This window comes from Homo sapiens, chromosome 2 (assembly GCF_000001405.40).
Source record: "Homo sapiens chromosome 2, GRCh38.p14 Primary Assembly".
In the NCBI taxonomy this organism is placed as follows: Eukaryota; Metazoa; Chordata; class Mammalia; order Primates; family Hominidae; genus Homo; species Homo sapiens.
Window position 1 is genome coordinate 39,896,646 of NC_000002.12, and position 25,658 is coordinate 39,922,303.

Genomic DNA, 25,658 nt, shown 5'->3' on the forward strand with positions numbered 1-25,658 from the left:
TTCCTGTTCCTTTGGTTCCATCCACTTCTCTTAATCTGCCCTTCCTCTTCAAGTGGATGTTCCCTTAGGATTCTCTTTTCTGAACAGTGCTTCTCACACTATCCACCTCATTCACTAACGCTAACAGTTCCTATCCCCACTCCCAGCTCAGACCCAAATACCATATAGGAAGAAGGTTTCCGTTGGTTCTTCTTAGGGGAGAAACTGAACCCCCTAATACTTTTTATCACTATATCTGGCAGAGTGTCTAACCATAGGGATGTTTAATGAGTATACATAATTTATGTAATATGTAATAAATTATGTATAAAGTCTGTTGACCAATTAGGAGAGGAACTGTGATGACGAGAGAAAATTCACTGGCATTTGAGGACTCAGGTAATCAAACTTTGTGGGAGGGGATTGAAGGCTCAAGGTTGGAAGGTTGCATTAGATAATCTTTAAGGTACTTTATGACGCAAGGCACTGGCAGAGCTAGAAAAGGAAACAAAGTCTCTTAGTTATTCTATTCATAACACTTTTCAGTCTTGACTTTTAAGTTTGACAATTTAGGCAGTCCTAGGATTAGGCCAAAAAAAGCTATTTAATGGAAAGTGCTCACCATCAGTTTTTCACCTTCCCCTGAGACTATTAATATTTTATTAATTTTCATACACTGTATTAGCCATGAAAACACCTTCTCATGCCTGAGGCCTTGCTACATGGAGATTCTGACTCAGTTCACTTAACCACATTTAACAGATTAAATTAACTGGTTAATGCAGTGCAAAAACTAGCGTGAGTTGTTCATTTTACATTGATTCAATAAGATTTTTTCCAAATGGACTGAATCAGCAGTTCTTGTCCGTGAAAACACAGAATATCACAATCCAGCAAGTAATATTTAAACACAAAGCCGGTTGCACTGATTTCTGTTTCTTTTTTAAAATTTGTGGTAAAAAACATGTAAGATTTACGATCTTAATCATTTTTAAGTGTACATTTCATTAGTGTTAAGTCTATTTACGTTATTTTGAAACAGACCTCCAGAGCTTTTTCTTTTAATCTTTCCAAACTGAAACTCTACAGTCATTAAATAATTCCCCTTTGCTCCTTTCCCTAGCCTCTGATGAGTACCCTTCTACTTTGTTTCTGTGAATTTGACTATTTTAGATATCTCCTATAAGTGAAATCATGCAGTATTAGTCTTTTTGTGACTGACTTCTTTCACTTAGCATAATGTCACCAAGGTTCAACCATATTGTAGCATATGACAGGATTTTCTTTTTAAGGCTGAATGATATTCCATTGTATGTATGTACCACATTTTGTTTATCTACTCATCTTGGATGAATATTTGGGCTGCTTCCACCTCTTGGCTATTATGAATAGGGTGCTATATAAACATGGGTATGCAAATGTCTCTTTGAGATCTTGTTTTCAATTCTTTTGGATATATACCCAGAAGTGGGATTGCTGGATCATATGATAGTTCTGTTTGTAATTTTTTTTGGAAACTTCCATATTATTTTCCACTGCAGTTGAACTATTTTGCAATTCCACTAACAATGCACAGGATTTTAATTTCTCTATATCCTTGCAAACATTTGCTATTTTCTGTCTTTTTTTGTTTTTGTTTTTCCGTTTTGACAGTATTCATTGTAATGGGTGTGAGGTAATCTATCTTTCTCTCTGTCTTGAGAATAATGGAGCCGGAGTTGTGGAGATTATTATTTTTTATTATCAATAGCATTAATAACTGTATAGGTGAAATAAATTGCTTTTCTCTTTGTACTCATACCTCTGTCAATACTCCAGAACACTTTACTTCTGACACCAAATGTGTGTGTGTTTTTTTTCCCTCACACCAACCAATTTTCCCACCAGCTGGGTGTCTAAAATTCAGTGCAATTCTGATACTATCTACCTGGAGTTAGCTCAGGCCCCATAGGTTAAGGAATCAGTCTTACAAGACTATCTCACTTCAGAGCCCGGTTGCAAGTTCAGGTGTCACTTGTGCTTCTGATCAACCAGCTATAAATGGGAGGTTCCCACTACCCACTTCCTGGATTCAATGATTTGCTAGAACAGCTCCCAGAACCCAGAAAAATGTTACTTACTATTGCCAATTTATTACAAACGATATTTTAAAGGATGCAAATAAACAGCCAGATGAAGAACTACACAGGGCAAGGTTTGGAAGAATCCCAGGTGCAGGAGATTCTGTGCCCATGTAGTTGCTACATACCATTCTCCTGGCATATAGATGTGCTCAACTAGCTCAGAAGCTCCCGAATTCCATAGTTTAGAAATTTTTATGAAGGCTTAATCATATAGGTATGATTGATTGTTAGCCCAACTTCCAGCCCCTCCCTGCTTCCTGGAGGATGTTGGGAGGGTAGAGCTGAAAGTACCAAGCTTCTCATCATGGCTTTGGTCTTTCTGGTGACCAGGGTCCATCCAGGAGCTCACCAAGAGTCAGCTCATCAGAACAAAAGACACTCCTATCACCCAGGAAATTCCAGGAGATTATGAGCTTTGTGTTGGAAACCAGAGTCAGAGAACAAATATTAGAACAAAAGATGCACCTAGCACCACTGTTGTTCAGGAAATTACAAGAGATTTAGAAGTTGTGCGCCAGGAAATGACTAAAGATCGAAATATTTCTTATTATAAATCACGATATCACAATAACCTATTTAATTTGGGAGATATGCAACATATTAGAAGTAAAACTCTTCTTACCCTTTAAAGCAGGGGTCCCCAATCCCTGGGCCACAGACCAGTACCGATTTGTGGCCGGTTAGGAACTGGGCTGCACAGCAGGAGATGAGCAGCTGCAAGAGAGCATTACCACCTGGGCTCCGCCTCCCATCAGATCAGCAGCAGCCTTAGATTCTCATAGGAGCTTGAACCCTATTGTGAACTGCACAAGCGAGGGTTCTAGGTTGCATATTCCTTATGAGAATCTAATGCCTGATGATCTGAGGTGGAAGAGTTTCATCCTGAAACCATTCACGCCTTATCCGTGGAAAAATTGTGTTCCACAAAACCAGCCTCTGGTGCCAAGAAGTTGGGGACCATTGCTCTAGGGGCCTCTATTGCAATAAAAGAATGCCCCAGACATCTCACTACCTCCATGAACTGCACTTGCCTTTTTGCTTGCACATCATATAAAAGTTATATTGTGTAAATAAAAAGGAACTCTTAGAATTTGCATGTTTAGGCAGAATAAATTTTAGGGGAGATAGCCATTTCTTTTCTAATGGGTCAGAGTTAGAAAACAGTATTGTAGCAGCCTTTAAAAAAAAAACTCAGTTGAAAGCCCAATGACTTGATGGGGTTGGGTAGAGTGGGATGGAGTGGGGCAGAGGGAATGGATGGCTGGAATAGGATGGGCGAGGATGCTATTCCAGGATAGGATGTGCCCTGGGAGATCAATGAAGGCAAGAGTGAAATGACAATATAGTTGCAGAAGAGCAAATTTGCTTAGAAGGTGTAGAGGAGCTAGTTCAAGGAGCTGAATGAAAAAAAAGGAAGACTCAAGTCATAAGTTCTTTACCTTGTGTCTCTGGGCTTTGGGAACCCATAACCCTGTTTTTATCTCAAATTCAATGAGAAACTACTATAGGCCTCAATATGGTTTGACTCTGTGTCCCCACCCAAATCTCATCTCGAATTGGAATCCCTATTTGTGGAGGGAGGGACCAGGTGGGAGGTGATTGGATCATGGGGATGATTTCCCCCATGCTGTTCTTGTGATGGTGGGTAAGTTCTCAGGAGATGTGATGATTTAAAAGTATGGCACATCCCCCTGCTCTCTCTCTGTTCTGCCACTATGTAAGAAGATGTGCTTGCTTCCCCTTCGCCTTCCACCATGATTGTTAGTTTTCTGAGGCCTCCTAGCCATGTTTTCTGAGGCCTCCTAGCTGTGCTTTCTGTTAAGCCTGTTAAGAGTCAATTAAACCTCTTTTCTTTATAAATTACCCAGTCTCAGGTAGTTCTTTATAGCAGTGTGAAAACAAACTAGTACAGGCTTAAGGAAATGGTGGAGGGAAAAAACACCTTTGGTCCAAATGTTGAGAAGTGATGAAGAAAGTCCTGGGCAGTTCATCGAATGTGAGATGCATGGATGAAATGATCAAGGCTTGGCCTATGGATCCTACTGTGGAAAAGGAATGGACAGGATGTGTAACGTGATGTGTCTTCATGTCCTTTCACTTTCTTAGTTTGCTCTTAACAGTGCCTTTCACTTTGACTCTCTTCTTTATATTTTGTCCTTGTTATTTGCAGGGTCTCTGTCATTGGAAGTAGAATAACTGCTTCAGAATATCAGCATATCTGTTCTGCCATTTTTGGGTAGAAATAATAATGTTTCACCCTTAACTCCATTAACCATTAACCATCAATTTTACAATGATGTAAACATTGTAAATGTCTATGGCTCGCCTTGTGATTTTTGACTCTTCTGCTATATAATTTCTTGATGCTTATATATGTCTACTCTTTTTCACAAATTACCTCTTTTACCCTCTTAGGCTTGATATTTGCTTGCAAGGAAGAACAAAAGTCTGATTTTGTTTTAATGACACTGATTCTTTCAAGGAAGTCTTAGCTATGCTGTCAAATTTTCTTCTATTGCTTCATCTCTGCTAGTCCTTTCAATTTTCCTTCCCATGTACATTACAGTTTATTTCTTTCTATTTCTTATGGAAGGCTGATAAGATCCTTAACCAGATTAAATGGCCCATTTTATTCCTGTCATTGAATAAGACATTAAAATTTAATGAAAGCTGCACTTCAGGAGAATTGTTATTATTCTGCTCGCAAAATCTCATACTGGTTTTTATTGGGGTTTAAGGAGGAGTTGATAAATTTTACCCCTCTTCTGTCTTTGACTTATAACCTATTGAAAAAAAAGACACAGGAGTTAAAAAATGAAGATAAAATATTGTTTTATTACTGAAAATGTTGACTTCAGAACATGCCTTGACTTGTGACCAACTGGGTTTCCTAATTTCTTCCCTCCTCCCTCAGTTGTACTTATTTGACTACTCACATACTACCCTTCTCTCTCTCTTGCAGCTATTTCTCCTCTTACAGAAAGGGCTTCTTATTTGCCTTCTGAACTGACAGGAACTGCCTCAATAACTTGTTAACCTTCTGCCCAGGTGATGTTTATCCTCCTCTTCTTCTGTAAAGCAAAAAAGAAAGAAAGAAGAAGCAGTTCAGTGGGGTGCAGTGGCTTATTCCTATAATTCCAGCACATTGGGAGGTTGAGACGGGAGGATTGCTTGAGGCCAGGAGTTTGAGACCAGCCTGGACCACAGATCAAGACCCTGTCTCTACTAAAAAAAAAAAAGGTGAAGGCCTACAGGGAAAGAAACAATTACCAAGAAGGCCCAATCTGCTAGAAGGTATTTAAACAATATTCCCATTGCGTACACAAATGCAAATGGCATTTGATCATAACTGTCTTTCTCTGTCTGTCACACCCTAGCCCCATGCTTGCTTTAGCAGAACAGATAGTGCCTATTATTCACAAATGATTTCTCTTACCTTCCTAGACCTGACACTTATTTTGGAGGATGAACAGAAGTCATCAGCCCATGAGATCTTCAGAGGTTCCATGACAATGTTACACCCTGAGTCACAGGCTAAATGTCTAGAACAGTCAGATGCTTACTGGGAACCAAGATGATGTTTCTGTGAGTAGGATGAATCACTGCAATCAGTGAAGCTAGAAGTGTAGGTTTTTGAGGAGGTCTAATTACAAGATTTTGATATGTTCTGTAACTGCATACACTGAGGCAGAAAACTAAATAACCCAACTTAGTAAGAAAAACAAGAGAAAAAAATCCATTTTTATCTCAAGCACAGCTTGTTCTTACCCTCCTAATGCTCATCAGGTTTAATGATGTTTATCTCTTCTTTTCTGAGAAAAAGATAAAATGGAGAAACTGTTACTATTAAGCAAGTTTCACTAAGGTCTGTGTGTTCTTTTTCCAGAAGGAGGAAATTCATATAGGGTAAAATTCGAGCAAATCGCTTTCAGAATTCATGCAAGAATCTCTCCAAAAATTGTGCCAGCTGCTGTCTCGTGCTGTAGTTGAAGTCCAGAATCGAATCTGCCCATGTGCTGTGCTTTGGATCAGGTAGCAAATTCAGAATCAGCCAAGTCATGATTACCCCTTTGAAACAAGTTACCCCCTAGTAGGCAAGACCCATGTGATCATCCAGACTACATTTTTCCCTCATTGACAGCCTTCCCTAGAGTACACAGGCAAAGTGCTGAGTGTGCAGGGGAGTTCTGAACATGTTCTAGGGTTGGGGGAAGCAAGGGAAGGGCGTGCAAAGGGGACTCTAAAGAGGGAATGTAGATGTAAATGCCTATGGTGCCAGGCAGGGAATATACATCCGTAATCGGGTGTCTAAAAATAAAGCACAACAACAGTAGCACAAGATGATGGTAAAAAGCAGCTTCCATGGAGGGGAAACAAAAGGGAGTGGTGGGGACTGTGATGAAGTGGACAGTACAATTCCTGTCTAGGGAGGCGAGGCGTCCTCTGCTCAGTTCAGGCAGAACGGTGACTGGAGTGCTGCTGGACCTCCTGCAATCTCCCAAGTTTCAATGGATGGAAACTAATTCAAAAATTAAAAACAAAAACACTGGGCAAGTAAAATTAAAAAAAAAACTTTGTAGGTGAATTTAATGCTGATTTGGAATATTATAAAGACACCCAATGTTTTAAAGTGAGGAAGGGCTTTTATGAGTGCAGGACTAACATAGGGGAAGCCTGGGGTTTTCTCTTTATCTTCCTTCCACCTGATACCCCTACCCACCAATCCATGGTTTTCCTGAACTTCTGACTCAGGTTACCCTTTATTAAGATAATGAGAAGATAGATGGATGAGGGTCTCAGACTCCTTTTTAAGGCAAAAGATTTGACTTGTGACATTTGTATTCTAATCTGCCATCTCCTTGGTTCCACACAGGACTCCTTTAATGGACAAAGATTTGTGTCGTTCTGTGTCTGGGGGCACAGACACACATGTGTACTAGGACACATGAAGAGGAGATGCTTAATTCATACACCGTAATCTTCACTTGTTTTATGAACTGGAAATCAATTCAATTTCTTCAGAAGATACACAAATTGTTTGCATACACCAGAGGTCACAAGTGGTGTCCTGCTGACCAAAAGGACTCAGGGTTAGCTGTAATGTTACATTGAAATGCTGCAGGTAGGCATGCCTTGCCAGTTTCTCACAGGCCACCAAGCCTGATTCCACTTCATGCCCCACACAGTTGTCTTATCTGCATAAACACTAAAGCCATTTGGATTTGTCAAGGCTTGACTTACATACACTTTTTAAAGATCAACCATGATAGACATAAACTTCCTACTGTATAATCTTATTTCCCCCACCATAAATATGGACAAAATTAGAGGTTTGCTCTAAAAATTCATTCTAGTTTAACGTGAAGTGAAATGTAGCAAGTTTGTAACTCTTCACTTGAAATACTTCTGAGAAGCTTTTTTTTACCTCCCAAATGCTGCCAACTCCCTTCCCACTCTGACAACACTAATAATTTAGAACCATTTTAATTCTCTGTGAGTCTCAAAGATGGAAAATTCAGGTTACAGGATAAATCTGGCCTTAATACATGCTTTGTTGTGGCTGGGGATGGGGGGAGTTGTAAGGGGTAAGAGACAGTGTTTAAGATATTAAAAAATATTTCTCTGCCGCTTCAGATACATATGCTCTGTGCCTGCTGCCTGGAAACATCTGAGTTTGTGGCCTCTGCTGAATACAAATACAGAGACTCAGGTTAGCCCAAGTCAACCCCTTCTCCATCATCAGGAGTATCTGGGATACTGGCCATAGGTTGATGCTATGATGGACCACTCCAGGAGACCTGGAGCTTCTTTAGGCTATGTCTTCCAGGCTTCATGAACACCATGGAATCCCCTGTACTAAGATCTAAAGAAGCTTCAAGTGGTCAACCCTCCAGAGGAGGTTGATCCATGTCTAAATTCCATTCCTTATCATCCCATGAAAAGGTTGTAACTTACCCCAAGGTATTTACCTGTCTGTCACAGGGGTAATAATTTAAAAATGTATCAGTTTGCTATCTTTCTTCTTTTCTCTTTATCAATAGCTCTCAAGCTTAGCCTGTGCTAGGCAGCATCTGTGGGAATGGAGAGAAGGGCTGGGGAATAGGTATCAGTTTGCTGTTTTTCTTCTTTTCTCTTTATCAATAGCTCTCAAGCTTAGCCTGTGCTAGGCAGCATCTGTGGGAATTGAGAGAAGGGCTGGGGAATAGGATATTTTACAAAAGAAAAATGCTAAGGGAAAGAGCAAGGACATACTCAGATTTTGGTATTCAAAAGCAGATTATTCATTGAGACAATAAATAGGCTGGCAAACCAAGATACGGTACTGAGAAAGGATGTTTCCATTTCCTTTATGCCCTCAATTGAGAACATCAGCATCATTCAAATCAGACTGGATGGATCACGCATCCTCTCAGGTGTGAAAAGGATGCCCTGTCCGCTCACGCCAGCCTGGACCCTCTGAGAGTGAGAGAGAGAGAAGAGAGTGTGTAGGAGAATTAAGAGACCACTGCCTCCATTTGCTGGTCCTGTAATAGTATGGGAGAATGGAGACATTAAGATCTGTGCTGCTTATTTTTTCTTCTCTGGGTTTAGGCTTGGGGAGAAACATATGTGTTGGGTGAATGCAGATAACACCAGAAGGAGTAGGGTCTGATCGATCCTTGTTTTCCTGCCACACAGCCAGAGGGTATAATATTGAGTTGTCAGCACAGAGAAGCCAGAGGTTTAGCTTTTCTGAGATGCCCTAATTCCTTCGTCAGGAAGTCACTGAATTGAGAGCCAGTGGGCCTGGGAAGAGGGCTGCTATAGCAGTGCAAGGTGGCCCTCCACTGAGGATGTGGCAAGAGGCTTTTGGGTCTGCAGCCTGTAGGAATCAAACGATGGTGTCAGAAGAGAAACACTGTTGGGACCAGGAGGATGAGTCTGAGTTACATTCACTTTGGTGTGTAAGGCCAGCAGAGCTCAGGCACCCCAGGAAGACTCAGGCCATTGTCCCAGAGACAAGCCCATGTCAGCCAGTGCACACAGCATCCCAGTACAAGGTCAGCGGATCCCTTGATCTCACCAAGAACTGTCATACACTTCAATGCCAAGTTAGGGAGAGAGGCAGAGGCAACTTGGGATACTGAGCATCCTTTCTTAGAGGGACTGAACACTGTTTTCAGTGGCCACTAAAATTACTGAATCAGATTATATCTAAAGTGAATTGAGTAGAAGTTAGGGACTTGCAAGAAATATTATGTTAATCGTAGACTATAGAGACAATGTTTCGTCCACCTTGCAAATGTGAGTTATAGTGTGAATTAAAATTTTTTGACTCTGCTCCATGTATAGGCAGATGAAAAGAATCCGATCCTTCCTTGAAGAAGTCGGAAAATTTTTAGGTTGGGGAATTATATGAACCTTGCAAGTCAGAAGACTGTCGTTAGGAAAATTATCCCTTTTATTTAGCCCACAAAATGGTACAAGCCAGCCATGAAATGTTTCCGCACTTTATAAAGCCAGCCTCTGCCTCCTCCTCCTCTTTTATTAAAACCACAAAATTAATGGATTCCTTTATTTTTGCTTATTTACCATATATCTTTGCTTCCTTCTGTATTCATTTCCCGTCTTCCTGTATAATATCTTTCAAATAGCTTCCATGTTGATATATTTTCAGACATCTTGCATATCTGAAAATGCTTTTATTGTATCTTCACTGTTAAATGCTAGCATTATAAGATCTAATACTCTGGGGTTAATGAACTTTTTTTTCCAGCAGTTTGAAGATAGTAGTAGCACATTGTATTCATCTATCTGGTGCAGCTGAGAAATCTCACACCAATTTCAGAATTTTCTTGAAGGGGATTTTCTTTCCCTTGTGCCCTTCAGAAGCTTTTGTCTTTAATACATTTTTTTAATCATCATAAGTCTCAGAAATGACTTTGTTCCCTCAAGCCTCCTTGCTGTCTAAACTTTTTTAGTCTGCAGTCCTGGGTCTTTGTTTAGTTCTGAGAAATTCTTATTAGTCATTTCTTCACATAATTTCTCCTTTCTCTTATTTTTCTCTTTTGTGGACACTTCTGATCTTTATATCATTTATCCTTGTTTTTTCTCTTTCAATAACTTTGTCCTTTCTGATGTTTTCTGGGAGAGTTCCTCAACCCAATCATTCTGCTCACTGATTTGTCATTTAACTTTGTCCACTGTGCTGTTAATTTCTTCTACTGAGTTTTTATTTCAATGCAATATTTCATATCGCATTTTTCAAATTGTTTTTATTTTATCATTTATCTTGTTCCTGCTTTACGTGTTCAACATTTTGCTTGTTTTATGTTATGACAGTTGTGTATATTATTATACTTGTGTTAAATTCCTGTTGCATTATTTTTCTTTATATATGTTTTGTTCTATTAGTTGGCTTGTGCTTTATAAATAGTCTGATTTGGCCTGATTGTCTTGCCCCCTTCTGCTCAGGACATGGCCCCACAGGCTGAGAATCTCACTCCACTGTGGGCTCATCGGTCCCAGTGCACAGAATGGGAGATTAGGGACTAAGACATTCAAGTGGAGTCTCCTGTTCTTGGTAGATAGTTCCACTGAGAACACATTTACCTGCTAGACACATGGTCTGTCAGAAATGACCAGGGTATGGCTAATTTAGTGTGAAGTTCTTTTGATTTAGAAAAAAAATTTAGAACATGATTGCTTTGCTAATTCCCATGAAAGAGTCGTTTGTAGCGTGGAATATACAGCATTAGTATAATAAACGAAAATAACTGTAAAATCAAAAAGTAAGACAAAGCTAATATTTTCAATAAGATGAATGAACAAAATGCTATTTAAATGATTTGAAGCTGAAATACTTATGGATATTAAAATGCAATTTCATGAAAAATCTAGATCTCTATCTCCAGCTCTTTATCAGATAGCTTGAGGAAAAATACATAAATTTTAAGTCTGTCACTGCTTTTGCCTCACAGTTTGTCAATCTCATCAACCAAACTGAAACAAAATCTCTAGAAAACCATTATGAACCCAAAATCAATGTTCAGTGTCATCATTATCTTCTCTGTCATCTTCTGCTAATTAATTCTGATACATTTTCAAACAAGCCGTGGATTAATAGTTTAGTGCAAATTCTCTTCAATTACATCAAAAAGCAGGGGGAAAAACATATGGGTTAGCTGCAGCAAGGGATCAATAATTCTATCAGCTCTTTTCTGTCAATTTGAATGTCGCCCTTCACCTTTTTTTCCCTGTAATTTTCTTTCTTTCCTAATTTATGCCTCACTTTTAAATATCTCACATTCTTTTCTTTCTTTTCTTACAGGGTTCTCTTCTGATACTCCATCTTCTATATACCTACTTTGTGTTAATTTTAGGAAGCATTATTTAAAATATTAGTGTAAACTGAGACAAGAGATAAAAGCAAATAATGGTTTTAATATTAAATAACTTTTTTTTTTGTAAATAAAATGAGTTGATTCCTGTGCTACTAAAAATATTAGGAATTAGAAGCTCAGTGGATATCTACATTAAAATCTGAAGAGACCAGAACTGCATATAGAGTCTTTAAAATTAATATCCCCAGTTTGAATTTGAGTGGTAATTTAAAGACATGTTTACCTGTTTGTACACTTTTCTTTCCAAATAGGAGGTGAATAGTATGTGGTCAAAAACTGTCTTTTTCATCTTTATATCATAGACTTTAAAAGAATTCCTGACACCTAGCAGAGGTTCAGTACCATGTTTAAGATGAATTAATGAATGAAGACATGGGTTTAACTTACAATATCATGGCTAACTATGACCTGCCATAGACTATCATTGTGACATTGTTGACAAAGTAAGAGAATAGACTTTGAAGTTAGATACCTTGAGTTTAAATCCTGGGATTTTGATTAACTAGATGTATTACTCATCAATTGCTGCATAACAAGTTACCCCAAATCTTAGTGGCTTAAAACCCTATTTATCCCACAGTTTTTTGTGCACCAAGAATCCTGGTACAGCTTATTGGATCCTGTCTTAGGCTCTCTCATAGGCAGGAATCAAGTTGTTAGCCTGGACTGTCTTCATCTCAAGATTCAACTGAAGGTAGATTTGTTTCCAAGCTCACTTGTGGTTCTTGACAGGATTCAGCTTTTATGTGTGTGTGTGAGCTGTTGAATTGAGGGCTTCATTTCCTTGCTGGCTCTTGGCCAGACGCCACCTTCAATTCCATGCCACATGCACCTTCCCATAAAGCAGTTCCCATTATGGCAGCTGTCTTCACTGAGTTGATCAAGCTAGAAGAACTAGAGTATGAACAAGTTGGAAGTCAGTCTTGTGTAACCTAATCTCGGAAGTGACATCCCACTACTTTTGCTGTATTCTATTTATTAGAAGTCAGTCACTAGTTAGAAGGATATGGTTTGACTGTGTCCCCACCCAAAATCTCATCTTGAATTGTAATCCCTATAATCTCCACGTGTGAAGGGAGAGACCAGGTGGAGGTAATTGAATCATGGGGGTGGTTTCCCCTGTGCTGTTCTTGTGATAGTGAGTGAGTTCTCACGAGATCTTATGGTTTTAAAAGGGGCTCTTCCTCCTTCGTGCGTCACTCTCTGTTGCCTGCTGCCATGTAATGTGTGCCTGTTTTGCCATGATTTTAAGTTTCCTGAAGCCTCCTGAGCCCTGCAGAACTGTGAGTCAATGAAACCTCTTTTCTTTATAAAAGTCTTGGGCAGTTCTTTGCAGCAGTATGAAAATGGACTAATACATTAGTAAATGTGAATACCAGGAGGCAGGGATTGTTGGGGGCTACTTTAGAAGGCTGCCTACCACAATAGCCATGTAACCTTGAAAATTTGCTTAAGCTGTTTTGCTCGGTTTCCTTACCTGGGAAACAGGAATACTAATAGAACCCACCTGTTAGGGCTGCAGTGCTAAACATACTAAGAATGTATATGCTAGTGATTAGCAAAGTGCTACACACAAAGCAAAATTCAGTACAATAATACTGTGCTATTATACCTGTTATTTTTTAGCTATGTCATCTCTTTTTAGGTTGATTCTTTCTTCATAAAGTGAGAATTGGATGATCTCTAAGTTTCCTTGTAAGCCCAAGGAGTTTACTGATTTTGTAGACTTAGGAATCCACAGACTTCTTCATTTTCAACAATCTAACCTTTTTTGGACCCCACATTAGCTTTTCCCCCTCGCTCTTATAATACCTAATTGGGATCACATAGAAAAAAAACCCTGATGTTTCTGAAGGAGAGATTCTATTAATGTTTGGGACAAATCAACTGTTGCAGGGGCCCTGCCCTGAGAACCAAAGTTTTATGAATTTTAGTCCGCATTCTGCCAGTTGAAACAAGTTCTTTAACCTCTCCCGTCTCAGTTCGTATAATTCACGGAGGGTGAGTTGGACTGGATGAGATAGCATTCCTTCTAGCTTAAAAGTCTTTGGAACTAATTTCCGTTTGCTGCATATATTCGTTTTTAATTCTCCTTTCCATGTGTTCCATATGTAGTTATTTAGGGACAATTTCCTCAGGCATTTTCAGAACATTCTCAATTTTACAAAGATTATAGGATACAATTATAGCTTATATGATTTTAGGAACTATGACATTGTAAAGAAAAATTATTGTGATAATCAGTAAACCTCTAAGATATTCTTACAAAGGCCACTTTTAGAAAATCACAGAAAATGAAGTCGGGTGATGTTATTTGTATGCATCAGGTGAAAAAAATACTCCCAAATGAGGAAAAATATTTTGGGACTTTTGAGTTGACTAGAATTCAAAGTAAAAAAAAAAAAAAAAGCCAGATCATTTTCTGTAATGATTCAACTCATTGGACATTTCTTGAGGTGTCAGTTATACCTTCTTAGAAATAGCTCTAGACATTTACAAGTTGTTAGAATAAAATAAACAAATGAATTAAAAAACCAACCAGATCTTGTGCATCCAGAGAGGTTCAATCTCTTCCAAACAATAATTTTTTTAGGATGCTATTATTGCTTAATTGTCTTTGAAATTCCTTTCCTGAAGCTACCTGTAGAATCTGAGGCATATGCTTTTGAACATGCTCACTGATGAAAACTATTTTTTTCCTGAAATCAAATCCGCGGTCAAAAATCATTTAGAAGTAAGAACAGTAGGTGAAAGGGCAGATCAAACTGGATAGTACTTTTTAGTGTATAAAATAGGGAACAACAGCAAGATGAGTGATTTTCTTACATTGAGAACTAGCTCCAAAGGTGGTTCAAAAGAGAACTCCTTAAATTGTTTAGAATGAGGAGTCAACATAAAAAACGCTTTGTGTCTTTTGTCATGTTAAAAAATGAGTCTCACAAACTTACATGACACAAGTTTACCAATGAAACAAACCTGCATATGTACCACTGAACTTACAAGTTAAAACAAAAAATGAGTCTCACAGTTTGCATGAAGTGTTACTTGATTTCAACCTGAAGCATCTTGGTAGTCAATTCAAATTCTGGTTCTGCCACTTAGGAACTGTGTGACATTGGGAAAGACTTGGTTTCCCAGAGCTTCATTTTTTCTTACAATGTGGGAAATATGTCACAGAGATGAGATGAGTGTTCAGTGAGGATGTGTGAATATATCTCACAAACTTTAATGGGTAATACCCAAGATAGTTATTAATAATGCCATTTTATGCATAATTTCTTATATAAATTTAATTAAACTATAAGCTCATAAAATATTCCTATCAAATATGATAGGAAAAATAAGGGAGAGATTTTCAGGATACTTATTGCCAATCCAGGCACCCTACTAAGCTCTTTATAATTTTTATTATAAGCTCTTTATAAATTATATTGAAATTTACTTGTATAATTTTAAATTTAGTTATTATGAACACTACAAGTTTCCATTGTATAGGTGAGAAAACTAAGGTTTAGAGAGTTTAATTTTGCCAGAGTTATAAAACTAGCAAATGATGGAGCTGAGGGTGGGGTCCAGATCTGAATGACTCCCAAACCAATGTTTTAAAAGCCCTATGTTACACTGCTTCCATTTCTGGCAACAATGTGAAGAGAAAAAGGAATGTACAAGACTTTGTTATATTGCACCAGTAATTACCAGACTTATTTGCATATGAGAATTACCCTGAACGTATAAAAACCATTGCAGCATCCAGGGCACACCAGAAATCAATTAAATTCCTTGAGGGTTGAATCCAGATATTAGCCTTAAACAAGCAAAACAGAAAGCTGTTCAGGTGATTCCAACATGCAGCCAAGTTTGAAACTCCATGTGTTTTAAGGTCAGTCCCTGAGACTGACTAGGAGATTTGTGATGACTGTGGGCTTGGGAGTAAGATGGTTCTAACTCCTGTTTGGCTGCTTAGGAGTTGTATGATTACGGACAGGTTACTGCCCTTCTCTAAACCTCAAATGATACTGAAAACATGTATTTGTGGGTAAAATAAAATAACCCAAGAAATGTTCCAGCACACTGCCTGGACCTACCAAGTAGTGCCTGGTGGTAGTAATACTTTGTTTCTCAAGCTCATTCTCTGCACAGATTTTCGGTTGCTTCTTGAAACTTTTAAGCATGTGATCTGCTGCCCCTGAGTGAAAGCAAGAGGCTACTATTGGCTCCTAAGTCTCTTTTGAATCATAATGTTATGCCATTTTTATTTGGGACGTGTATTTCTATAAGTGGTTCACAATATTTAGCAATGGAAACAATGGCTTATCTTGGGAGTAACCCAAGCCACTTGGTAATGAGAATAGTTATTTGATGATTTGATAGTTAATATTGGTGTTCTGGAAATGGCCATGTACATATGTTTATAGATGTGTGTTTTCTGTTTTTTGTTTTTTTGGGTAGATGTCACCCTTTCCCCTTATAGCTTGTTTACTTTCCTCACACAGGTGTAGGCAGGCAGCAGCGTTGTTTGAATTAGTCTTTTAAGTGAGTGTTTAATGAAGATGAGTAATTGCTTGCAGCTGCATGTATCTGTAGGGATTTGATTTTCTTCTAGTAGAGAACAAGGTGATTTTCCAGACAACTTTGGAAAGTGTGATCTTGGTTGTCCCCACATACTTGAGAGTGACTGCCTCTTGCACCAAAATGCCATGAAACTTCCTGCTTCCCTCCAGAAGACACCATCCTAGCTGGGGTATAGGCAGCTCATTTTATCTTAGAGAAGGTTTCCCCCTTCAATATAAAAGGTAATCAATGTGGTTTCAAGTGAAGATTATAAACATGAATGGCTCCTTGAGGGTGTGGCACTATGGCCTGATGAATCCTAGATTTGTTTCCACTTTCCCCCTAATTAAGACTGAAGTTTGAACTGCTGGCATGGTTGAAAGTAGATTCTGAGATTTTTTCACTTAGAAACAGGATTTTCTAGAGTCGATCTATGCAGAGACCTTGTAGGGGAAAGAACAGGATTGGCACCAAACATTGGGGTTTAGAAGTCATAAGTAGGACCTAAGAGAGGCAACCAAGGAACCACAGAGTTGAGTGACTGGACTAAGACCCTTAACCAGTGGCAGGGCTGGATTCTAAGTGTGTATCTGAGTTCCTCCAAAGCGTATTCTTTACTTCATACAATTCCCTGAATATCCTCACCTGTGAGGAGGCAGAATCCTTTCATCCCTCAATGGCAATGGAAATGCATGTACGCATCTTACACAATGGGTGTGTTCTTGAAGAGTGGTGAGAAAAATTGCTTTTATAAATCAAATCACATACCATGTTTACAAGGAATATTAATATTTAAAAGGAATTCAATCTTAAATCTTTTTTGAATTCTTGGTAAATGTAGATGTTATTCAAAGTGAGGCTTCGGTGTAGTCATAATCATTAAACTGCTAGCAAATGTTATTCTAATATATTAGTCCATGATACCATAAGATGGATTAATTTTTATTACAAAGTACGATTCTTGATTTTTTTTTTTGGTGAAGTTGTGTTTGATGAGGAAGTGCTATCAAATTACAAAAGGAGAATTGACCAAGCAGGAGAGTTGAGCTCTATCAAGCCAGCTACTTGTTTTATCCACTAGAGGGTAGCATTGGCATTGGAATGACACGTAGACATTTACAGTTTTTCAAATTGAAAGAGCTGCCTGTGAAATGCAGACTATTGCCAAATCTACAATATATTAAATGATTTGATAAACAATTTGATATGACGGAAAACACCACATGATTGTAATTGGATTCTTCTGTATTACTGGGCGATGTACACCCTGAAGGACATTCTTAAGGCCCACTACCTGTGTCTTGTGGGGGTGGTTACTTTGGGCCTCAAGCCAACCATGTGCCATTTGGGACTAAGACCTTTCCTTCTCACCTTTCCAGCTCAATTCCTGCTTTACTTCTCCATTTGCAAATTGTCAGCATGCTGGAGAATCTCAGTGTGAATTACCTTCCCTTTCCTTCAACCTAAAGCCGTACTTACCATAGAAGTTGATTCTTTTAATGAGTCTCTTGAGGAATTCAACACTTGTGACAGGCATTTCTGCTTATCCTCACTAGAATGCTGTGAGGGGCCTGAGGACTGCCGTCCTCATGCCTTTTAACATAGAAAGACAAAGTCCTCATGTCATTTCACATCACCCTTCTGCTTGGTAGTGGAGCCAGGGCTGGATTCTGGTTGTGTTTTGTCTAACTCATCATTGACTGAGTGGTTTCCAGTGCTTAGCAGGGACTTCCTAGGTGTATGACACTTTTTTTTTTTTTTTTTAACTTAGCCCCTCATCCACCACATTGCTACTAGCAGTAACTACAAAACCACCAGACTACAGTAGTAGGTCCGTATACAGAACAAGATATTTAAAAGAGGTTGTTTTATCCAAGAAAGAAGTATTTTTGTTGTTCAAAATATTAATCTGTGAGAGGCACTAACATTCAGACCACAGCAGGCAGCAAACAATGAGCTTGTCTTGGAACTCACAGTTCTCCACCTGGCCTGGTAGCTGTACTACAAACATAGTATGTTCTTAATCGCTTTATGTTCTTTTTTGCATTTTTAGAATTTTTTTGATAGATAATATTTGTATGTTTTGAGATTCATGTGATATTTTGTTACATGCAGAGTGTTGTAATGATCAAACCAGGGTATTAGGATATCCATCACCCCAAATATTTATCATTTCTATGTGTTGGGAACATTTCAAGTCCTCGCTTCTAGCTATTTTGAAATATACCGTATGTTGTTAACTATAGTCACTCTACTCTGCTGTTGAATATAACTTTTTCCTTTTACCTGTATGTTTGTACCCATTAACTAACCTCTCTTCTTTCCCCTATCCCCAACACAGATCCTTCCCAGGATCTGCTATCTATCATTGTACTCTACCTCCATGAGATCAACTTTTTAAAGCTCCTACATGAGAACATGGGATATTTGTCTTTCTGTGCCTGGCTTATTTCACTTAACGTAATTATGTCCACTTCCATCCATGTTGCTGCAAATGACATGATTTCATTCTTTCTAATGGCCCAGTGGTACTCCATTGTGTATATATATATACCACATTTTCTTTATCCATTCATCTGATAATACTTAAGTTGATTTCATAGCTTTGCTATTGTGAATGGTGCTGCAATAAACACGGGGGCCACAGGTATCCCTTTGAAATAATGATTTCCTTTCCTTTGGCTAAATAGCCAGTAGTGGTATTGCTGGATCATAAGATAGTTCCATTTTTACTTTTTTGGAGAAATCTTCATTTTTTTTTTATAGTGGCTGTACTAATTTACGTTCCTACTAATAGTGTCTAAGAGTTCCCTTTTCTCCACATCTTCACCGGCAACTGCTATTTTTTTTGCCTTGTTTCTAATAGTACTTCTAACTGGGGTAAGATGATATTTCATTGTGGTTTTGATTTCATCTACCTGATGATTAGTGATGTTGAGTATTTTTTCATATACCTGTTGACCCATTTACCTGTTGTATGTCTTCTTTTGAGAAATGTCTATGACATTTACTCACTTTTTTATGAGATTATTTGTTTTGCTGTTGAGTTTACTTTAATGTCTACTGATTACTAAGTCCCTTGTCAGATGAATAATTTGCAAATATTTTCTCCCATTCAACAGATGTCTGTTCACTCTATTGATTTCTAGTGTATGCAGAAGTTTTCCAGTTTATTTATTTTTTAGAGACAGTCTTGCTCTGTTACCCAGGCTGGAGTGCAGTCGCATGAATGTAGTTCACTGCAGCCTCCAACTCCTGGGTTCAAGTGATCCTCCCTCCTCAACCTCCCAAAGTGCTGAGCTGCTTTTCAATTTAATAAAGTCCCACTTGTCTATTTTGTTTCTGTTCCCTGTGCTTTTGAGGTCTGAGCCATAATAAAATCTTAACCTAGACCAATGTTACCATGTTTTCCTTCCTTATTTCCTCTCCTCCTTCCTTCCTTCCTTGGTTGCTTTCTTGCTTTGTTTTTGTTTTTTTTTTGAGCTGGAGTCTCACTCTGTAGCCCAGGCTGGAGGGCAGTGATGGAATCTCCGCTCACTGCAACCTCCACCTACTGGGTTCAAGCTATTCTCTTGCCTCAGCCTCCTGAGTAGGTGGGATTACAGATGCATGCCACCATGCCTGGCTAATTTTTTTTTGAATTTTTAGTAGAGATGGTTTCGGCATGTTGGCCAGGCTGGTCTTGAACTCCTGAACTCAGGTGATCCTCCTGCCTTGGCCTCCCAAAGTACTGGGATTACAGGCATGAGCCACTGCACCTGGTCCCACTATGTTTTCTTCTAATAGATTTATAGTTTTGGGTTTTACATTTACCTTTAATCCATCTTCACTTGATTTTTACATATGGTGAGATAGGGATCGGGTTTCATTCTTCTGCATGTTGATATTCAGTTTTCCCAGCAGTATTTATTGAAGAGAGTGTCCTTTTCCCAATATGTTCTTGGCACCTTTATAAAAAAAAATCAGTTTGTTGTAACTATGTGAATTTATGTATGGGGCCTCTGTTTCTTTCCACTGGCCTATGTGTCTGTTTTTATACTAGTACCATGCAATTTTGGTTACTAGAGTCTTGTAACATATTTTGAAGTCAGGTGGTGTGATGCCTCCAGCTTTGTTCTTTCTACTCAGGATTGCTTTGGCTATTCTGGCTCTTTTCAGCTTCCATATAAATTTTTGGATTGTTTTTTCTATTTCTGTGAAAAATGACATTAGTATTTTGATAGGGATTGCATTGGATCTGTAGATTGCTTTTGGTAGTATGGTTATTTTAACAATATTCTTCTGACGCATGAGCATGGGATGTCTTTCCATTTATTTGTGTTCAACTTTTTTCATCAGTGTTTTGTACTTTTCCTTATAGAAGTCTTTCACCTTTTTGGTTAAATCGATTCGTAGGTATTATATTTTACTTCTATAGCTGTTGTAAATGGGATTGTTTTCTTGATTGCTTCATCAGCTAGGTCACTAATCATGTATAGAAATGCTATGATTTTTGCATGTTGATTTTGTTTCTTGCAACTTCACTGAATGTATATATCAAATTGAGGGTTTTTAATGGAGTTTTTAGTTTTTTCTAGATATAAGATTAAGTTATTTGCAAAGAGAGCAACTTGACTTCCTCTGTTCCAATTTGAATGCCTTTTATTTCTCTTACCTGATTGGTCTGGCTAGGACTTCTAATATTATGTGATATGGTTTGGCTGTATGTTCCCACCCAAATCTCACCTGGAATTGTAATCTCCATAATCCCTACATGTCAAGCGCAGGACCAGGTAGAGGTAATGGGATCTTGGGGGCAGCTTCCTCCATGCTATTCTCATGATAGTGAGTTCTCATGAGATCTGATGGTTTCATAAGCATCTGGCATTTCCCCTGCTTGTGCTCACTCTGACCTTCCTCCCTACAAAGTTGTGTGCTTCTCCTTTTCCTTATGCCATGATTGTTAAGTTTCCTGAGGCCTCCCCAGCAATGCAGAACTGTGAGTCAATTAAACCTCTTTTCTTTATAAATTACCCAGTCTCAGGCAGTTCTTTATAGCAGTGTGAGAATGCACTAATACATTAAGTAAAATTCTAGTGGTGAAAGTGAAACTCTTTCCCCTAGGAACTCTTTCTAGTTCTTAGGGGAAAGAATGTCAGCTTTTCCCCACTCAATATCATGTTTACTGTGGGTTTGTCATATACAGCCTTTGTTATGTTGAGGTAAGTTCTCTTCTGTGCCTACTTTGTTGAGAGGTTTTATCATGAGGAAATGCTGAATTTTATCAGATGCTTTTTAAAAATCTATTGAGAAGAGCATATGGTTTTTGTCCTTCATTCTGTTGATGTGATGTATCACATTTATTGATTTGTGCGTGTTGAACCATCTTTGCATCCCTGGGATAAATCTTACCTGATTGTGGTGTTTCATCTTTTTGATGTGCTGTTGGATTTGGTTTGCTAGTATTTTTTTGAGGAATTTTGTATCTATGCTTATCAGGGATATTGGTCTGTAGTTTTCTTTGTTGTTGTTGTGTCTTTGTCTGGTTTTGGTATCAGGATAATGCTGGCCTTGTAGAATGAGTTGGGAAGAATTCCCTCCTTCTCAATTTAAGATAGTTTGAGAAGAATTGGTGTTGTTTGCAAGTTGGGTAGAATTTGGCAGTGAAGCCATCTAGTCCTGGGCTTTTCTGTGTTGGGAGACTTTGCTACTGATTCAAACTCTTTGCTCCTTACTCTGTATAGGTATTCTATTCCTGATTCAATCTTGGTAGGTTGTATGTGTCCAAAAATTTGTTCATTTCCTCTAGGTTTTCCACCTTTGTTGGCATATAGTTGTTTATAATTGTCTCTGATCTTTGTTGTTTCTGTAGTACCAATTGTAATGTTTCCTTTTTCATTTCTGATTGTTTGGGTTTTCTCTAGTTTTTTCCTTGGTTGGTCTAGCTATTGATTTTGTTTATCTTGTCAAAAAACCAACTTTTCATTTTATTGATTTTTTTATATTGTTTTTGGTCTCTTTTGTTTAGTTCTGTTCTAATTTTAAAATTTATTTCCTTCTACTTGTGTGTTTGGTTTTTCTTTCTCTTTTAGTTCCTTGAAGTGCATTGTTAGATGGCATATTTGAAATCTTTCTACTTTTTTGATGTAGGCATTTAGTGCTGTGTACTTCCATCTATATCCCATAGGTCTTGGTATACTGTATTTCAAGATATTTTTTGATTTGCTCAATTTCTTCATTGATCCAGTGGTCATACTGGAGCATGTTGTTTAATTTTCATGTATTTGCAGTTTCCAAAGTTTCTCTTGTTATTGCTTTTAGCTTTATTCCATTGTGGTCTGAAAAGATACTTGATGTGACTTCCATTTTTAAAAATTTGTTGAGGCTTGTTTTGTGGCCTAACATATGGTCTATCCTGGAGAATGTTCCATGTGTTGGTAAGAAGAATGTGTATTCTGCAGCTGTTGGATGAAATGTTCTATAAATGTCTGTTAGGTCATTGAATTATTCATTTCCAGAATTTCTGTTTGATTATTTTTTATGATATCTCTTTGGTAAATTTCTCATTCATATCCTAAACTGTTTTTCTGATTTCTTTGTATTATTTACCTGTGTTCTCTTGTATCTCATTGAGCTTCTTTAATTATCTTGAATTATTTTTCCAGGATTTTTGTAAGTTTTTTTCATTGTAATCTGTTGCTAGATAATTATTGTATTTCTTTGGAGGTGTCATATTTTCTTATGATTTTTGTGTCCTCACATTGATATCTGGTGCATCTGGAGTAACAGCGGCTTCTTCTAATTTTTTGGATTTGCTTTCTTGGGAGGACTTCTCCTGAAGATGTATCTATGGTGTTGGTTGGTTAGGGCACTTTGGCTTTGATTCTGGGTGCATGCAATGGTCTAGTCTCTGTATAATTTCTTTGCTTGTAAACAGTGTCAGTGGTGTCTGATTTCCTTAGTGGTTTAGGGTGCAGTCATTAGTAGAGGCTGTGGTGAAGATTTGCTGGGGATGAAGACACCAGCTGTGTCAGTCCTCATCTGCAGTGATGACAGTAGTAGGTGGAACATGCCTGTCCTTGGGCAACAGGGCAGTGCACGTGCCAGCACCAAGTGGTTCCAGGTAGGCTGATTCTTGGGCCTCCAGATGGCTTACTCAGGTGAAGACAGCAGCAGCAGCAGCAAGGGGCCAGGCAGGCTGGTGGGCCCTTGGGACCCTGGACAGCAGGCATGGTATGAGTGATGGCAGTAGTAGTGGCAGGAAAACCCTCTGCCTCCCCAGCTGTCTGTACTGGTGTTGGTGGGGGCTGTGATGTGCTGGGTGGGCCAGTCCCCAGGCCCACAGGTGGTGCATACAGGTGGGTTCCAGCTGTGATGATAGCCGCAGGCTGGGTGGGTCTATCCTTAGGCCCTTGTTAAGAGTACTCAGGTGCCAACAGTAGTGGATGGGGTGGGGCAATCCCCAGTCCACTGAACAGCATGCTTGAGCACTAGGGGGCATGGAGCCAGGCTGGATGGGTCTGTCTTTGGGGCTCCCAGTGGCGCATATGGGCAAGGGCTGTGGCGGGCAGAGCTGGGTGATCGCCAACCCCCCAGTGTAGTGCTCAGGTGATAGTGGCAGTGGTGGATGGGGAAGCCTGTCCCAGTGTGCATGCAAGTGGCTGCAGCCCTGCTGATGGGAAAGTGAGGTTGCTGTCAGTGGCAGCAGCTGTAGGCAGGCAGTTGAGGAGCTTGTGTTTTGGCCACAGGTGGGGCTGTGGGTGTGGGAGCTTGTCCTCAGTTCATATGTAAACGCACAGCAGCACCATTGCTGGGGCTGGCAGGGTTGTTGCCCACGGCTTGCTTTTCAGCCCAGTGGCAGCAGCCAGCAACGGTGGTGGCTGTAGGTAAGAATCTGTCCTCAGGGTGTGTGCAAATGTGTGTCAGCCCCACTGCCAGGAGTGATGGATTGCTGCCTGTGGCTCATGCTTCAGGCCTGATGGCAGCAGCTAGTAAGGCTGCGGGTGGAGGATGTCAGGGGGCCCCAAAGATGTGGAGATGCAAGGGCTGTTGAGCCCCGGGGCAGGATGCAGGTGGGTGGGGGTTGGGCTCTCAAAATAGTATTCTGCTTAAGCTCCTTAGGTCTGGGGCAGGTGTGGGATCCAGCCTCAGCTTTGTTTCTGGAGAAAAACTTTGTGCTGTCTCCTTGGAGCTCCCTAAGTTAATCTCAGGGCCTGGAAGGTCAAGGGCTCTCCTGTCACTGAGATCGCAGGAGTCTGTGGTGGGAATGTGGACCTTTTGGGGATCTTTCACTTACCTTTCCCTGCACTGGGCAGCCTCTCTGGGCTCCTCTCTCCTTCCTTATTTTAGGTGTTTGCTGTCACTTCTCTATTAAATTCCAGTGCCCTCTCTTAGATGATCCATTTAAAGTGTGAATATCTACTCATTTTGGTTTTTTATGGAGGAGGTGAGATGTCTCTAGTAATCCATCTTGAAGCCCCTCCCTTTACATTGTATTTCCTAACGTCCAAGGGTCTCTGTTTCCTTTTTGTTTAGAGAACTTCCTTTTGCTATTATTTTAGAGTATATCTGCTGGTATAAACAACAAAACTCCTTTACTTGTTTTCATCTGAGAGTATGTTGATTTTTTCCCCTTCATTCTTAAAGAATCTTTTTTCTGGGTATGGAATTCTGGGTTAAATTCTTTTCTTTCATCACTTACTTTTAGCCTCCATGGTTTCTGATGAAAAATCTGCTGTCATTGACATTTCCTTTTTCCTAGAATTAAGGTGTTATTTTTCTCTTGCTGCTTTCAAGATTTTTTTGTCTCTAACTTCAGAAATTTAAGTGTGATGTGTCTTGGTATTGGACTCTTGGATTTAAGTTGCAATTTACTTAGTTTTTTGAATTGGTAAATTTTAATCTTTTCTTAAATTGGTGGAGTTATGGGCTATTGCTTCAACTTCACAAGTATTTGTTGGGCACTCCTTATGTTTGACACTGTACTAGACTACGGATGATGATGAAAATTTAAAATCATGGGTTGAGATATTAAGAACTGACATGCACTTTCCACAAGAAGAAAAGGTGAAATAATGCAGGGAACATTGGGCTGTCAGTGGGAGAGCAGAGATCTACTTCTCTTGGCTCTTCTCCTACCTCTGTGACATTGGGTAAACAAATGAATCTCTCAGGATTACGCTCTGTAATATGAGGGAGTTGGATTAAGTACTCAGTTTAGCTCTACATGACTTCAGAGGAAGAAAGAGGTAAGTTTGGTTTGGTCTGGTCTGGGAAGGCTTTATAGAAGAGGCTGAATTGAAGACAGGCCTCACATGACTGTTAATTGATACTCTCTTCTTCCACCTTCAGGACACTTTAAGATAGACAAATCTGAATGAAAACACCCCAGAAGGGAGAATTATTGGCTCAGGACTAGGCTGGCACTGCTGGTAGCCAATCTTTTTTGCATGTTTGCCGGGCCTGCTGCTTGTCCACTCATTGCACCCCCACATACCCTGCCCCCTCATGCTCTTCTCCTGTCTTTTTCCAGAATGGCTTCTTCCATCTTTCCTACTTCTTCACATTCTGAAAATTCTGCAATACTTATCTTAGGGCCTTCTTCTATTACCCTGTTCTGTTTTAACTTTCTAATTATATTTCA

At 39.2% G+C, this 25,658-nt stretch overlaps 2 long non-coding RNA genes across 2 annotated transcripts in view, besides 2 other annotated features; both read left to right on the forward strand.

Moving 5' to 3' along the window:
* Positions 5,134-6,333: an enhancer, noted in NCBI's record as "MED14-independent group 3 enhancer chr2:40128919-40130118 (GRCh37/hg19 assembly coordinates)". NCBI's record gives its function as "activates an origin of replication core promoter dependent on BRD2, BRD4, P300/CBP and CDK7 cofactors, and independent of MED14, by STARR-seq in HCT116 cells {active_cell/tissue: HCT116}" and the evidence as "EXISTENCE:reporter gene assay evidence [ECO:0000049][PMID:35650434]".
* Positions 5,292-7,850, forward strand: LOC112268436 (uncharacterized). The gene is made up of 3 exons (XR_002959475.1): positions 5,292-5,687; positions 5,989-6,134; positions 6,976-7,850. It is a non-coding gene; the product is annotated as an uncharacterized LOC112268436 (long non-coding RNA).
* A 13,138-nt stretch (positions 7,851-20,988) lies between these two features.
* SLC8A1-AS1 (SLC8A1 antisense RNA 1) overlaps positions 20,989-25,658 on the forward strand; it is a 337,576-nt gene continuing 332,906 nt past the window's right edge. The window contains exon 1 of the long non-coding RNA NR_038441.1: positions 20,989-21,014. This is a non-coding gene — a long non-coding RNA (SLC8A1 antisense RNA 1). The remainder of the gene's footprint in view (positions 21,015-25,658) is intronic.
* Positions 23,856-24,515: an enhancer, noted in NCBI's record as "H3K4me1 hESC enhancer chr2:40147641-40148300 (GRCh37/hg19 assembly coordinates)". NCBI's record gives its function as "activates a minimal SCP1, AML or CMV promoter by ChIP-STARR-seq in primed H9 embryonic stem cells {active_cell/tissue: H9 hESC(primed)}" and the evidence as "EXISTENCE:reporter gene assay evidence [ECO:0000049][PMID:30033119]".